This window comes from Homo sapiens, chromosome 14, assembly GCF_000001405.40.
Source record: "Homo sapiens chromosome 14, GRCh38.p14 Primary Assembly".
Lineage (NCBI taxonomy): Eukaryota > Metazoa > Chordata > Mammalia > Primates > Hominidae > Homo > Homo sapiens.
The window spans coordinates 99,902,323-99,919,104 of record NC_000014.9 but is presented as its reverse complement, the minus strand read 5'-3'; the positions used below and the strand labels follow the sequence as shown (position 1 = coordinate 99,919,104).

Sequence of the window (16,782 nt, the reverse complement as noted above, 5' to 3'; positions counted from 1 at the left end):
TGCTGTGTGCACTGTCTCCTTCGATCCTCAGTGCAACACAGCCAGGCAGGGAATATCACAATTTACAGAAAAAGAAACAAATTCAGAGAGCTTATGTAACCGGCTCAAAGACACTGCTGCTAAGTGGCAAAGCTGAGCTGCAAACGCAGACCCACCATCCGGTGTGTAGGAGGTGCCAGGTGAATAGGTATTAACTCAATTGGAATATGAGGCTCAGGGTCTGGGCAGTTCCTGAAATTTTGAAAGGGCAGCTAGAAAAAGCATTTATTTTCTATTTTTAATTTTTTTTAGAGATGGGGTCTCGCTGTGTGGCTTAGGCGAGGGTACAGTGGTGCAATCATAGTGCGATGCAGCCTCGAACTCCTGATCTTAAGAGATCCCCCTGCCTTAGCCTCCTGAGTAGCTAATACAGATGTGGACCACCATATCCAGCTCAATTTTAAATTTTTTATAGAGATAGGGTCTTGCTGTGTTGCCCAGGCTGGTCTCGAACTCCTAGCCTCAAACGATCTTCCTGCCTAGGCCTCTCAAAGGGTTGGGATTACAAGTGTGAGCCACTGTGACCAGGAGTAGAAAAAGCATTTTTAAATGCTCAGCACTTTGAAATGTTTTCTTGCTTCATTCCAAAATCAAGGCTTCTCCCACAGCCTCAAGATCAGGGCTTGAGAAGCTCCACAAATCCTCGAGATTGTAGGCAAAATGTGTGTGTGGCTGGGTGTGGTGCCTCATGCCTGTGATCTCAGCACTTTGGGAGACCGAGGTGGGAGGACTGCTTGAGCTAGAGCTCAAGACCAGCCTGGGCAACACAGTGAGACCTGCGTCTCTACAAAAGATAAAATATTAGTTGAGCATGGCAGTGCATGCCTGTAGTCCCAGCTACTTGGGAGGCTGAGGTGGGAGGATCACTTAAGCCCTGGAGGCTGCAGTAAGCTGTGATTGTGCCACTGCACTTCAGTCTGGGTGACAAGGAGAGACCTGTCTCAAAAAACAAACAAAAAAAGTGTGTGTGTGTCTAGTGGAGGTAGAGGGTCCTTTTCCAGGAGAGAGGGTCTATGGCTTTCCTCAGATTCCCCAAGGCTCAAAATGTAATGGGCCACTGTTTCAAGTTTCGCTTTTAACTTAATTCTTGGTAAGTCATTAGAAGCTTCGAACATGTAGCCAAGAGCTGAACGGGGGCCTGTTCCTGGGGAAATAGAAACAACAGGCCTCTTTTCCATAAGCTTTGCAAGCACAAGCGCTGTTGGCATGGACTTACCTCCCAGTGAGTGTTCCGACTGCAACCACAGACCCTGAAGGATGAAAACCAGAAGACTGAGCTGGATCCTAAAATATTTTAAAGGAAGTGTAAATTGATGAACAGATAGAACACTATAGCATAAAACACACACACGTGAGTGCGTGCACACACAAACGCTCACACTTCTAATTCCTTAGGGCTATATGGCTCTATTTGAAAAGTCTCTTTTCTAGAGAAAAATGTTTTCCTGCTTGAATGAATGCTGCGTTTCAATAATGCTAAATTTCTACCTACCCCCACCCTTTTTTGAGGCAGGATCTCACTCTATTGCACAGGCTGGAGTACAATGGCATGATCATGACTTATTGCAGCACAAGTGACACTCCTGGCTCAGCCTCTGAAGCAGCTGGGACTACAGGTGTGTGTCACCACACCTGGCTAATTTTTTAATTTTTAATTTTGTAGAGATGGAGTCTCCCTATGCTGCCCAGGCTGGTCTCGAATTCCTGGGCTCAAGTGATCCTCCTGTCTCTGCCTCCCAAAGTGCTGGGATTATAGGTGTAAGCCATTGAGCCTGACTTAAATTTCTGTCCTTTTAGGATTTTTCCCTTTTTGTCTTACATCCTCTCATTTCTACAGTAATCTGATGAAAGACAGGTAAATGCCCTTCTACAAAGTCACAGCTTATAGAACCCAGCCCCTTCAGTTGACTCCCCGTGCTGAGTGGTAAGCTCACTGAATAGTGTGCTTGATTGCTCCAGAAAGACAACCACGGCACCCAACTCCATGACACGGAGACTGGGTGAGTGCCCACTGGGTGCAAAACACTATGGAGGCCTGGAAGGATCATGAGATGAGCAAGGCATGTTCTAGGTTTTGATCCAGTGGAACACACACACAGTCATCACTAACTCGGATACAAGATGGAATGATCCATGAAAGAGATCCATGAAAGAGATACACAGGGGAGGGAGGGATGAGGTGACACTGGGAAGCTGGGCCAAGGCTTCGCGGTACAGACGACTGGACTTGGGCCTCCCAGGAGAGGAAGAATTATCACTGGTGAAGGTGAGATGTGGCCACTCCAGTCGTTTTTTGGACCATGGTGAAGGGGGCAGTAATATAGTAAAAGTGATGGAAGCAACACAGCTGTGGGCATATTTGAGGAGTGGCAGATAGGTCAATGGGCTTACAGCACAGAGTATATCACATTAGTGATGTCACTGCCATGGTAAGGACTTTGATCACTAGGAAATAAGAACACTTTGAATGGTCTTGTCCTTTCAATAAAAAGAGTGACATGATTGAACATGTGTTTTAGATAAAGGGCACTTTGCAGGAGTGTTTAGGATGAAGAGAGAAGAGATTAAGGAAGATCAGGAAGAAAAGTAGCAATGGGAATGAAAATAGGAGGCCCTGAGATCCACTGGATAATCTAAAAAACCAAGAGAAAGAAACTTGATATATGATTACATTATTTCAATGCTTTCTTTCTACAGTGGGAGCTGTAATTAAGCTCAGAGCTGCCACTAATACACAAACAGAAATCGTGTTCACTTGAAGCTTTACCATTTACAAAGCACTTCTGTCTGTGTCATTCATCTAAGCCTCGTAACAATTTTGAGAAGTGGACACTGAGTTACAGATGTCCAAGGTCACAAGGCCAGTAGGCAGAGGAGCTAGAACTTCATTGCAGTTCCCTGGCTTCCAGCTTAGAGCTCCAACCCTTATGTTAGGCTAAATGATTAACAGCCTGGTAAAGGAGCTGTCATTGCCTTCAGCCCTCCTGGACCACCAGGGCATAGGTAGAACATATAACACTGTTCCCTTTAGCCCTTTCCTGCCATCACGGGCCACACCTGCTCTCTGAGTGGCAGTGCCTGCCCCTTGGGCCCTTCCACCTCACGGCTCAGCTGGCCACCAGTGACCAGCACCCCTTCCGTGAAAATGAAGGGAAGGGAGCCAAAACTTGAACCTAGCACCTGGGACATGCCAGTAACTCTATGGGGGATGAAAGGATGATGTGTTGGTTTACAGAAGGGCTATTTCCTCTGTGCAATGGGATTGCACAGATCATTAGGGCACCGGCAACAGAGAATGAGCTTCCGATTCGCTGCAGTGCAATGCAGTGGAAAGAACCAGAGTTTAGGAGTCAGACTGAGCTGGGTTCTAACACTAGCTAGGTCACTCACTAACTTAGTGACCTTGGCAAGTTATTTAACTTCTCTACACCTCAATTTCCTATTCAATAAAATCAGAGTTAAAAAAAAAACCTCTTCAACCTGCAGAGCTGCTACAGGGATTAAGGATAATACACGCACAGTGCTTGGCATGCAAACAGTCAGTGCTCAAGTAATACACGTGGGGAAAGGGCATTTCAACACTCTGACAGGTCATCAGAGTTTCTTTTGCAAAATTCACAGAGATGTTGACTTTTTTTTTTTTTTTTTTTTTTGAGACAGAATTTTGCTCTTGTTGCCCAGGCTGGAGTGCAATGGCGTGATCTTGGCTCACTGCAACCTCCACCTTCCGGGTTCAAGCAATTCTCCTGCCTCAGCCTTCCAAGGAGCTGGGAGTATAGGCATGCACCACCATGCCCGGCTAATTTTGTGTTTTTAGTAGAGACGGGGTTTCTCCATGTTGGTCAGGCTGGTCTCGAGCTCCCAACCTCAGGTGATCTGCCTGCCTTGGCCTCCCAAAGTGCTGGGATTACAGGCATGAGCCACCGTGCCCAGCTGACTTTCAAACGAAAGTTCACTTTACCATCAAACTCAAAATGTAGAGATATATTCAATCGTGTGTTTAGTACAGCTTGTAAATTCCCATTCAAAGGGTACACTGTAAATAGAATGCAGGCTCATAACAAGTATTTTTCAGCTCTTAGGATGGTTGAGAGACTGTACTCAGAAAATCTGACAATGAACTCAGAAAGAACAACTTCTTGTCAGAAAATTTCAACAGTAAACTTCAAAATTACATGGCTGAGGCCACGAGGCAATGTTAAAAGTAACACTGTTAAATGCAATTGCAATGTTAAGGCAACTCTAAATAGATAAATAACATTTGCTTTGGGACAACTTTGTATCACTGTTGATTTCATGCAAAAAATAAATAAACATGTTCCAGATGAATTTCTGTAAGAAAAATGGAAATGTAATGTGCATGTTTACCTCTATTATTTTGTCCCAGACGGGACGGTGACCCACAGCGTCCCAGAGAGTGGCATGCTTGTCATGCCCACAGGTCAAGAACTGAGATTTTGAGGCATGGATGGCCAGTCCCCAGAGCTCATCAGTGTGACCCTACAAATAACCAAGACAAACAGAAGCGCTCTGAGATACTACAGTTCGCACTCAGGAGCCGTAAGGGATGACGAACCGAGGCTTCATGCTGACTTCATAACTGCTCTCAACAGTTTCTCTCCTCCCATCTTTCAGCAGCCACAGACACTCTGGGGTGGAGGAAGGTTATCGTAGTATAAAGCACCTGATTGTAATGCTTGATTAGGGTCTGATATAATGCAAAATGAGAGTGTTTGCCGGGCCTGCTGAGTGGGATCGTACCTGAGTAATGGGTGTGAAGTCCCCTGACAGAGTGCCCTGCAGGACAAAGTTTCGAGTTGTGCCAATCAAGATCACATCGCCTTTCCCCTCGGCCACTGTCCGTATTGGACCAAACTGTTCTGGAATCTGCATTGAAAAGTCATATGAAAAGAAAAGATGTACAATTTCATTCAGTTGTTAGCTCAGTCATTCAAAACACTTATCATAATGATAGTCCCTATAACAGTTTTATATACACATATGTATATAATGTACGTTCAAATATATATGTTGTATATACATATATATGGAGAGTTTCACATAGATACCACAGCTGGCCAGGCTTGGTGGCTCATGCCTGTAATCCCAGCACGTTGGGAGGCTGAAGCAGGTGGATCACCTGAGGTCAGGAGTTGGAGACCAGCCTGGGCAACATGATGAAACCCCGTCTCTACTAAAAATACAAAAATTAGCTGGGCATGGTGGTGGGTGGCTGTAATCCCAGCTACTTGGGAGGCTGAGGCAGGAGAATCACTTGAACCCAGGAGGTGGAGGCTGCAGTGAGCCGAGATCACGCCACTACACTCCAGCCTGGGTGACAAGAGTGAAACTCCATCTCAAAAAAACAGATACCACAGCCAACTGTTGAGTGAGTGATCAAAACCCTAAGCCTTATTTTTAAACTACAAACATTTTATATATCTTAGAAGCATCAGCAAGAATGAGGTTAAGAAAAAGCATTTTCCTCAACAAAATTTAAAAATAAGGAATGCTACTGGTTAGTTTTCTCTTTACTTTTTACAATTTCTGATAGCAACAGTAGATACAATTCAGAAAGTAAAGAATATAGGCCAGGTGTGGTAGCTCACATCTGTAATCCCAGCACTTTGGGGGGCCGAGGTAGGTGGATTGCTTGAGCCCAGGAGTTCTAGACCAGCCTGGGCAATATAGCAAGACTCCATTTCTACCAAAAATACAAAAAAAATTAGCTGGGTATGGTGGTGCGTGTAGTAGCTGGAAAGCTACTCAAGAGGCTGAGGTGGGAGAATTACTTGAGCCTGGGAGGCAGAGGCTGAAGATCACGCCACTGCACTCCAGCCTGGGTGACAGAGCCAGACCCTGTCTGAAAATAATAATAATTAATAATAATAATAATAATAACACTGCCATAATACAACTTAAAATGGTAAGTTCTTTGGCAATGTCATTCTGTTCAGTTTAAAAATCGACATAAACATATGGAATAATCTAAATGTTAAGAGAAAGAATTGCAAAATACACCCATTAAGAACAATTTGCTATGATGAAGAAACAAAGTTCTTGTACTATAAAAAGAACAAATGCTGCAGCTTGACCCTGGCGGTTGCTGTTAGGCTCTCCCGTTCCAGGAAAGAAGCAGCCTCCCCTCACACATTCTCCAGTGTGGCATGTTAGCACAGATTTGAGTCAAGTTGATGATGACCCATGCTAATGAGGAAGAATCAGATACTAACAAACAGTGAATAGCTTTTATGAAATTAGATGGGGCTTTGGAGCTTTCTTTACAGTTATAATATGACTTGGGCATGTCTATGACTCTAGCAATTCACAATATGTTCAACCAAATGCTGGTCAAATCTTATTATTAAAAATGTTCTCACAACAGAATCTCCAGGCAAGGGGAAGTGATTTCCAAAGCTCAGATGAAGATCTTCCTTTATTAAGGGAAATAATCAACAGAACCAAATTTTCACACTGCCAGAGGGTGGTGCCATGTTGCTCTCTGATGTAAAATATAAGTGTTTTGTGTGTATCTGGGTTCAAAGTCCTAAAGTCTGTCCATTCTAAGCTAGGGATGAAAAGCATCACCCTTCAGAATGAGGCCAATTTTGCAGTGTCTGCTCACGATTTCCTGGAACCTGGGGGAGAAAATTCACTGAGTGGGCAGAAGGAATATTAAATATCTTGCCTCTGGTGCCTACCGGAATGCAGGGCTGCCAAGTAGATAATGGGGAGGTACACCGGGTATCAAAAGGAGTCACAGCCCTAGGGAGCACATTGGCACTTAGCTGAGGGCCATGTACGAAGTAGATACTCAACAAATACTAGTTCACTCAATGCAATAATGTCTCCAAAATAACATGCTAGAAATTAAAAATTAAAAGAGGCTGGGCGTGGTGGCTCATGCTTGTAATCCAGCACTTTGGGAGGCTGAGGTGGGAGGATCGCTTGAGCTCAGGAGTTCCAAACCAGCCTGGGCAACATCTCTACAAAATTACAAAAATTAGCCAGGTGTGGTGGTGTGTGTCTAAAGTCGCAGCTACTTGGGAGGCTGAGGTGGGAGGATCACTTGAGCCCAGGAGGGGGAGGTTGCAGTAAACTGTGATCACACCACTGCACTCCAGCCTGGGTGAGAGCCAGACCCTGCTCTAAAAAAAAAAAGAAAGAAAGAAAAAAAGAAAAAGAAAAAGTTAAAAGAGAAGACAGATTTTTATAATAAATCAAAATGTGGGTAACAGTCCCTTGGAAAATTGAGAATAAAAATATTCTAAATATGAAGTGTGTTACAACCTCAAGTTTTATAAACCTAATTCTATTTTATTAGTTATATTTAACCTGCCTCAGGATTTTAATAAAATACATTGCTCCCATATAATGTGATTTCACCTAAACAATTTTCAAAACTGTAAGATACAGATTTCAAACTAATAAAAAAAGGATAACAGTTTAAGGTTAAAAACAAATTTTAGCAGTAGCCTTGATGACTTACCTCCGTTTTACGAAGTTTTTGATAGTTTCCGCTCCAAGAAATGAGCTTTCGGTCTTTCCCACCTCCCGACACCAGTGTGCCATCTCTTAACATACAAAGTGCAAAAATGCCACCCTCATGGGCCCCCTGAACTGCATAGCTTATTCGATTTGTACCTAAACACACCAAGAAAACCATCATTAGCACATTGTCAAAAGGTTGCCTCTGCCCATTTTCTAATCTCATCTGACTTAGGTTTTAAAACGCAATATTGTCCGTGAGCACATCATTGCAATATGAATCTATGAAGGATCCAATTTCTAGACGTTCGCAGAGCACCAGACAAGCATGAAATGGGTTACCTTAGAATGAAGGAAAATATGCATTGTTGAAGCCGCATGGTTGAAGCACCACGCGGCTGAGAACGTGGGCTCTGAGTTTAGATCCCAGCTCTCTAGTGAGCTGTTTCTCTGGACAAATTGCTTAGTTACTCTACCCTCAGTTCCCCCTTGGTGGAATGGGGCTGCTGCTTACCCTGCAGGATTGTTCTAAGGATTAAGTGAGCAGTGAATAAGACACCTAGAGCCAAGAGCAGCAGGGATACTGGAAATGTCACCAATGCTTCTGAAATTGCATTTACAAGTCCGTCTCCACCTTCAGCCCCAATTCAAACTCTAAGATCCTTGAGAAAAGGGATGGTGGATTTTCCCTTTTTTCTTGTCACGGGGTAAGTGCTCATAAATGCTCACTGGACTTAACTGGACGCATGCTTTCTGAGTGATGCATCATCTCCCTTAGCAAACTGTTTGCTCACAGACAGCAGGGGATTTGGGTCTGACTCAGTTGTATGTTCACAGTGTCTAGCACATAATTAGCTTTCAATAAATGTCTGCCACATGCTAGATAAATCAGGATAGTAACTTAAATATTTTACAGACCTATAAGTAGTCATTAATTTCATCATAATCTGTCAGGGGATTTCCTAATAAAGCTATTTAATTCCATCATAATAGCTTGGGCTTAAAGAGCCTTTCAGAATGCTGTAAGGTCAGTAACTCTTACTATTCTCCGCTTTTCCTCTGTTCTAGTTTTGTGGTTTCAAGTTACACATGCACACATGTATGTGTGTGTCTCTGTAACTTGAAATTTCATCCTACTCCTGTACGTTGTATTAATAGACAATTCTTAAAGCACTCATGTTTGATCTCTTACAACATTACCAAAAACCATTGGTTTTGGGAACAATCACTTATTACCTTTTCCCCATACTAAGATGTTGCCACTTGAATCTCCAGTAATGGTGTCACCGTTTTCAGAGAAAGTCACACAGAGGACAAACTTTGGCTTTTCTTGTTTCTGTAGAATGTAGTAAAAAAATTATATATATATTTAATCCATACAACATATATATATTCCAGACAACCTTTCATTTGTACTAATAACATCTAGATTCGCAGTGGTCCCAAGCTGGATAGTGTCAGCTTCTGTGACCACCCTGCACACCTTGCATTTCTGTCTACTATTACATAACTTCTGCTGTGAGATTAACTGCTCTAAGACAAAGCGATTTCTAGCAACCCCAAGTGGCTGGGGAATCATAAAGCTGCAGACAGCAAGCGGAGGAGGGTACTGACCGGGGAGAAGGGTGGGGCTATGCTGTCAGCCTAAAGGGCAGGGTCCGAGCACCAGAATAAAGGGGTCCTCGAAACAAGCCTCAGGGAGGTGGTGGCAGATGGACCCCCGGGAAAAGGTGCTGTCCCCTGGTGCTCTCGCAGCCCCACAACGTCCAGACAAAAGGCACAGGGAGTCTCTAATGTCTTTTGCAAAGGCAGGTTGCCTGCCTCCCGATGACTTCATCTTCTGATACTCTCTGCAGCCAGTGCCACTGTGGGAGGCTTGGTGCTCCCTGGGTCCAGGTCCTTTCCCTGCCCTCCACCCAGGCTTGCTCTGTCCTTTTCTTCACTTCATTACCAGCGTTATCTACCAGGTGTGACACGCTTCCCAACTATGTGAGGGATCCCAAGGGATTGTGTTGATCACCAGAGCCCCCAGAGAGATGCATCTAGCCAATCACATATACGAGAGAAAAATAAAGCAAAAATCATAATTTAACTTTACCTCGAATAATCCTTGCTTCTTATTAAGGGAGCTTCCTTCTAGTGTCCAAAAGTAGAGATGTGATTTTCCACAAGTAACTATGATGTTGGTGTCCGTGGGGTGGAAATCCGCAGCAAACACAGCTTCATTAGAGCACTATAGGAAAAACAGGGACTCGGATGCCTCACATCTCTTAAGACGCGTAAGAGACATGTAGGAAAACAAGTAAAATGTGAGCCACAAATAAATAAGAAATTCAAGGCAAGCACAATGCCTATTATTTCCCCCATTGAATCCATCTTGCTAAAAACATCAAGCATATGCTGGTGTGGGCCTTAATACCTCCTCCTTGTCTGTCTCCCCCACTGGACAATGAGCCCTTGAGGACAGGGAGCACCCAGGAGTCCTCTGTCTATGCCAGGGCCTCTCCCAGGGCCAGGCATGGGGTGGGCATGCAGCATGCTTTGCTGAGGAGGGAGTTGGGACCAGAGGGACTTCAGAACTGCAAGCATTTGCTCTCATCTGCTAGTCATGGGTTCCCAGTCTGGCCGAACAAATGGAATCACCAGAAATGGTAAAATGCAGATCTCTAGGCCTCACCCCCTATCTGGTAAATGTCATCTCCAGGGAGGGCCCTGGAATGGATTTTACAAAGGTCCATTGTTCGTGGCTGACTCTGGCTGCCCGTTTCCCCAGGGAGTTCCTCCTGCGATTGACTCCTGGGACTCTGCCTGTGGCTCAGTGAACCGGCCTGGGGTCCCATGGAGTAGATCTAGCACTTCAGGTGCCACCTCCGCCACCTTCAGCCCACACCCTAACCTCCAAGACCCGCACCCTGGCCTACTGGATTGGGCTCTGATCACTGCTTCTATTTAATAATGCAGTTACACATTCTTGAGCCTGGATAATAACCTGCCTCTGATGCCTTCTAACCTAGCAACGTAGCAAGAAGAACTTAAACACCTGCCCAGAATATCAGAAGGTGGGGCTAGGGAATGAACACAGGTGTCAGGGAACAGACCTGGTTAGAATACAAGGTCTGCCTCGCAGACATGCAGCAGAGAAAGTTAGGTGACTAAGGTTATCTAAGGTTAATAGATGCAAAGATGAGAAATCTGAATTCGAGTCTATAAAAATAGGCTTCCAATAGAAAATAGAAATAGAAAAAGGTCAGTCAAGGCAAGGGAATTTGACATATTGTGCAAAACGGATTAGAGGCGGTCAAAGAAGTCCCAAGGGGCCCCTCGCAGGAGGAATCCTGTTGGGAAGGATTTGGGGTTTAGCTCGGGGCTCCCGCTGGTCTTTCCTGAGTCTGTGCCACTTTGGAGGAGCCCCCGTGCTGGCGGCCCCTGCCCATACCTGCCCTTCCTGCGGCTGCAGGGGCTCAGGCAGCAAGCCCACCTCACGCCTGAGCACATTTCCGGGCCTCCACGTGCCGTGCGAGCACGTGGCAGGCACTCGGGGTGTGCCAAGCAAATGAAAGGAACAGCCAGCAAATACATGACTGGATGAATTAAAAGGGTAGTGGCTATGAAATGAGGAAGAAAACAATCTTACAGACATGGCGAAAAGAGAAAAAACCCTAACAGGACCTGGGGTCAAAGTCCCATGATGGGACAGGGATCGGGGCCAAACGATTCTAAGGTGAAGGCGTCATACACAAGGGCTGGGGTGGGAATGAGCCCGCTGAAAGGGGGCTACCACTATGCCAGGGCGGCTCTGAATGGGAAAATGTTAATGCAGCCCAAAAAAGGCTTGGAGCATGACCTTCACATCTGCTAGTTTTTCTTCTTTCTGCCAGTCCCATACAGAGAGCACATGGTCGTTGGAGTCATCCACAGCACAGAGATTGGTTCCTCCATTCTGAAAAGAAAGTTATTCACAGGAAGACTATATCTGAGAATAAAGTGGGTTGAACATGATTAAAAATAAACATCAAATTTCATTTTTAATAAAGAGTCTGCTACATTGTAGTTAAAGAATACTCATCCATTGCTTTTGAGACCTGCTTTCTTTCTTTCTTTCTTTTTCTGGAGACAGGGTTTTGCTCTGTCATCCAGGTCACAGTGCAGTGGTGCAATCATTGCTCTCTGCACCCTTGACCTCCCAGGCTCAAGCAATCCTCCTACCCCAGCCTCCCATGTAGCTGGGACCGCGGGTGTGTACCACCACTCCCAGCTACTCTTTATTATTATTATTTGTAGAGATGGGATCTCCCTATGTTGCCCAGGCTGGTCACAAACTCCTGGGCTCAAGCAATCCTCCTACTTCAGACTCCTAAAGTGCTGGTTAGAAGGTGTGAGCCACTGTGCCTGGCTGAGCCACTGGGCCTGGCTGAGACATGCTTTCTTGACCAGACAGAAAGAGCAGGTAAATGATGGGGAATGAAGAAACAGGAATTGGGGAAGAGAAGGGCCAGTGGGGTGTCTCTTCACCACTGGGTTCCATGAAAACAAGAGCCCCTCCTAGAGCAGACAGTGCCTGCAGCAGGCATGGCACAGGGGCTGTTAGCAGCTGTGAAGGTGGCTGCTGTGGGGCTGCACAATGCCTCGGCTCTGGGGGCCTGAGTGCAAGGGGGTCTTTTCATGTGAACACGTGCACATGTGTGTGAATATGGGTTTCTGAAGTGGTTGAAATGGTTTGAAAGAGTGTAGGGTGGGTCTGCTGAACCAGCACGTCCTGAGGAAGCCTGGAAGATGACAAGGCCCTGTCCGACCCCTGCTTGCAGCCAGGCTGCCCGCCAGCCACGTTGGGATTGTCAGAGGCATTTGAATCAGAGCAACTCCATCTTGAATGGGGGATGGGTAAAATAAGGCTGAGACCTACTGGGCTGCATTCCCAGATGGTTAGGCATTCTAGGTCACAGAATGAGATAGGAGGTTGGCACAAGACACAGGTTATAAAGATCTTGCTGATAAAACAGCTTGCAGTAAAGAAGCTGGCTAAATCCCACCAAAACCAAGATGGCAACAAGAGTGACCTCTGGTTGTCCTCACTGCTACACTCCCACCAGCACCATGACAGTTTATACATGTCATGGCAACGTCAGGAAGTTACCCTATATGCTCTAAAAAGGGGAGGCATCAATAATCCATCCCTCACTTAGTATATCATCAAGAAATAACCATGGAAATAGGCAACCAGCAGCCCTCGGGGCTGCTCTGTCTATGGAGTAGCCATTCTTCTATTCCTTTACTTTCCTAAAAAACTTGCTTTCACTTTATGGAATCGCCTAGAATTCTTTCTTGCGTGAGATCCAAGAACCCTCTTTTGGGGTCTGGATTGGGACCCCTTTATGATCACATCTTTCTGGTGACCATGAAGCGATGACACTGAGGAAACCCCCAACCCAAACGCTGACTTTGGGTAAGTGGTGGGGTCCAGTGACATCTTTCTGGAGACCACAGAAGGGACAATACTGAGGAAACCTCCAATCCAAAGGCTAACTTTAGTAAGTGGTGGGGTCTGGTAACATCTTTCTGGTGAACCCCAAAGGGATGATACTGGAGACCCCTGATGCAAAGAAAAATCATCTGTACACACCGAATGGCTGATTTTGGGTAAGGGGGGGGCACACACCTGGGCAAAGGATGGGATTGGGTTAGAGGCCTAACTTAGGAGTCTCTCCTAAGACAGAGTGGGTTAAAGGCCCCTCTTAATAAAAGGCAAGGACGCTAGACAGACCTTGGGTTCCAGGCCCAACTTAGGAAGGTTAGAGTCCTTCCTAAGATTTAGGGGGTTAGAGGTCCCTCTCAGTAAAGTCCTTTTCAGCTAAGAACAGGCTTGGCACTATGGGACGTTAACTGCTATTATCATCTTTGGGTTTATCTGCCTTGCACTCTTTGCTGATGGCTAAGGGTGACAGAATTAGGCATGTACAAGATCATGGGACATGGGGAACTTTTTCCTCCCCAAAAGGGGAAATTTAAGAGCTGACGGGACTGCTGGGAAAGATCCCTTCGTTATCAACAGGCAGCCACCTGAACTTTTCAGTGTCACTGCAGTGGGCAGGTCTTTCTCTGGCCTCCCTGAGCTCTTCACCTTCCCCGCCCTGCCACAGGGAATGCTTTTCTCTCTCTCCTTTTTCCCTTTCTTATGTTTTCTATTACTCAGGGCCACCATCTTGCCCAGAGACCGTAAGTTGAAGCTCCTGGTTGGAGGCTGGATTAACAACGATGGGGCCGACCAGGGGCATGTCTGAGCCCTGCCAGTTTGATTTTGGGTGCTGGGTGCTGAGCTGAATGGCTAATATCTATGTTTTGTCACACATATTTTGCTCTGGCCAGGACAGAAAAAGATAATTTTCCTTTATGATGTGGCTTGGCCCCTAGGGCTGTGGTGCAGCCAGCTGGATCACTAGGGCCGCCTCAGGGAAAGGGAACCCAGAAGCCTGGCATGCCAGCAAAATGGTAAGAATTTCTTACCAGTCAGACTTCTGGCCTTTCTCTCTCTCTCTCTCTGCAAACTGGCTGAATGAATGGTAAAAATCACTATTTATCTCCTGTAAAGTTTTGATTAATGGGAAAAAAGGATTTGTGAGGGTAATCTTAAGCTGTAGAAAATCTGTTGTGCTTTGTGTTATAAATTTGTCTTCTATATCATTCTGTCATAAAGAGGGGTACCATAGGATAGAATGTGGGCCTAGGACCCTATAAGCCCACTGTTCAAAGTAGCACAGCAAACTGGTCAGTTATAAATTTTGTGGCAGGTTCCTGAAAAAAAACTGGATAAAGTTTCTCTCTTATCTTGTTTCGTGTGCTTGGGAGCTTGACCTTGTAACACGTGGCAGTACTTTATCTTGGTCTCTGCCATCACAGTGGCAGCCTGGGATCAGGGTTCAATTCCTGGCTTAGGGAATGAGTCCTTTATTTTCTGTCTGTGTATTTACATGTATTATGTGTGTGATGTTTATATATGAAAGAGCTTTGATTAATTGGTGTAATAATAATAATAAGCTTAAATCAAATATTTTGTAAGAAAAGTAAAAAGTGTAATGCCTTTCAGTTCACATGAATTAAGTAATTTTTGGGAAATAAAAACTGTTTTATATGTAAGGTGTATAAAGAAAGTGAAATGTCTTTTGGTAATAGATTATAAGAAGGCATGGAAATGTGGATTTTTTTTTGCCTAGATTAAAAGGTTAAATTATTGTTTTAAATTAGATAGAATAAAGCTCAAAGTTTAAGCAAGTTGTCGAAAGTTTGAGAGAAATTAATCTTGTAAAGAAATTCTGTGTGAACATATTGGCTAAAGTTAAAGGGGTATTAATCAGTTTTTCTGTAAATTAAACATTGGAATAAAAGCACAACAGGTTTTTCTCTGAGCAATGATCTGCTTTTCAACACAAATTGTAAAGGATTAATAAAAGGTTTATAAAAATCTTACCTTATGGTCACAGTGATTAAAATTGAATACATTGGCCAGGCACGATGGCTCACACCTGTAACCCCAGCACTTTGGGAGGCCGAGGCGGGTGGATCACTTGAGGTCAGGAGTTCGAGATCAGCATGGCCAACACAGTGAAACCCGTCTCTACTAAAAATACAAAAAAATGGCTGGGCATGGTGGTGTGCACCTGTAATCCTAGCTTCTAGGGAGGTGAGGTGGGAGAATTGCTTGAACCCGGGAGGTGGAGGTTGCAGTGAGCTGAAATCATGCCACTGCCCTCTAGCCTGGGTGACAGAGTGAGACTCTGTCTCAAAAAAAAAAAAAAAATGAATAGATTTATCTATGAGATTTTGTTAAGAATATTTAACATCAATAGTACACTAATGTAAAGGTGAAATTTGGCTTATTTGGTATAAAAGTCATACAGGAAGCATTGTCAAATAGGAAATTGGCTTTCTTTGGGCTGTATTTGTATAAATATGTTACTGGCATGTGTTCCAAAATTAGGTGAAACTCCTATAATTCTGATATGACTTAGTGTATGTTATTAATAGTTGTACTTGTTATGTTAAATTATTGTATGCTCCAGGAGTAACCAAATTTCCTTGTCAATTGTGGCTTTAATTGTGGCTGTCCTAAGACTTTCTGTCATCCACAGACAATTCTTGTCTTGTTTTGGTCCTATTTAAAAGGTGGCTTATAATCAGATATAGGCCTTTAACAGGTGCTCTTGAATGCAAGTTTCTGATTACTTTCAAAGTTGTAACATGAGAATAGAGGAAAAAACTTTCAGGACTCTCATGGGGAGCTGAAATGTTCCTGAATATCAAGCAGAACAGGAGTTAACTGCATGAACCAAACTAATAGAAGATTGAAATCATCTTTTTTGACTTTGCTTAAAATGTTGCTGATCCTTTGCTTTTTTCAAAGACAAGAAAACTTTTCTTTTGAGCTATTTAGAGCTTTTAACAATTAAGTAAAGTATACTGCTATGAACAAAATTTGAAGCATATTTGTTTCTCTCAACCTGATCTCTCCAGAATTTAGAAACTATTTGTGAGTATTCTTAATTTATGGCAATATAGTTAATTGCATAATTGTAAAGAATTTGTTTTTGTTTGTAACAGGACACAACTGGAGAAACTGGTTATTTTTTTCACAGGAATGGCATGCTTTCCTTTAAGGAATCAAATTGAATTGTAGAGTCAATAGAAGCCCCTTGGGGGAAACTGGCCTTGTACCTTGTCTCCACAGTCCCTGTACAGGGTTCCTGATCTGTGGTAAGTAAAGAATGTCACTTTCTCACAGGCCCAGGAGCCCCAAGTTATCTTGGGACCCCCCAAGAGGAGAGGAATTTACCCAACCCATAGGTATTTGAGAATATAAACCTATGGCTGGGCTTGGCTTTAAAAAAGGTCTTATCTGAGATTCCTTATGGAACAGAGTTCCATCAAAGCCAATTTAAAAAGCCTATGTGAAAAATAATTATTCTTGCTGCACTTTATACAAATAATCAAGCCAAGTATACAAGACTAAGGCTTATTTTTCCAAACTAATCAGTCCTGTTATGGTTTGTCTTTAGTAAAAATGGGAGACTGGAGACAGAAATTATGTTTCAAGAACTATGGTACATTTGTCATTAGATTCTAGTTTCATCAGTCGTTTTTAAGTTTTTTCTGCTATTTAAACTAACCCTGCTTATTCCTGTGAACCAACCAGTGATCTCTGACTGCGGCTCAGAAGAAATAAAAGCAATGGGTAATGTAAATATCTGGATCAGTATTCCAATT

At 44.0% G+C, this 16,782-nt stretch overlaps 1 protein-coding gene across 12 annotated transcripts in view, besides 1 other annotated feature; it reads right to left on the bottom strand.

The window, feature by feature from the left end:
- Positions 1-16,782, bottom strand: part of EML1 (EMAP like 1) — a 204,339-nt gene that overhangs the window by 22,956 nt on the left and 164,601 nt on the right. For 8 of the 12 annotated variants that reach the window (XM_005267398.3, NM_001375411.1, NM_001008707.2 and 5 more), the window contains 7 exons: positions 11,372-11,467; positions 9,626-9,760; positions 8,764-8,863; positions 7,529-7,683; positions 4,801-4,926; positions 4,408-4,539; positions 1,256-1,323 (listed from right to left, as the gene is read on the bottom strand). In XM_005267398.3, the coding sequence (XP_005267455.1) occupies positions 1,256-1,323; positions 4,408-4,539; positions 4,801-4,926; positions 7,529-7,683; positions 8,764-8,863; positions 9,626-9,760; positions 11,372-11,467 (812 nt within the window). The remainder of the gene's footprint in view (positions 1-1,255; positions 1,324-4,407; positions 4,540-4,800; positions 4,927-7,528; positions 7,684-8,763; positions 8,864-9,625; positions 9,761-11,371; positions 11,468-16,782) is intronic. The other 4 variants (NM_001440377.1, NM_001375412.1, NM_001440376.1 and 1 more) reach the window with 1 other exon arrangement.
- Positions 9,099-9,393: a silencer, noted in NCBI's record as "tiled region #1474; K562 Repressive non-DNase unmatched - State 21:Repr". NCBI's record gives its function as "represses a minimal TATA promoter and a strong SV40 promoter by Sharpr-MPRA in K562 cells {active_cell/tissue: K562}" and the evidence as "EXISTENCE:reporter gene assay evidence [ECO:0000049][PMID:27701403]".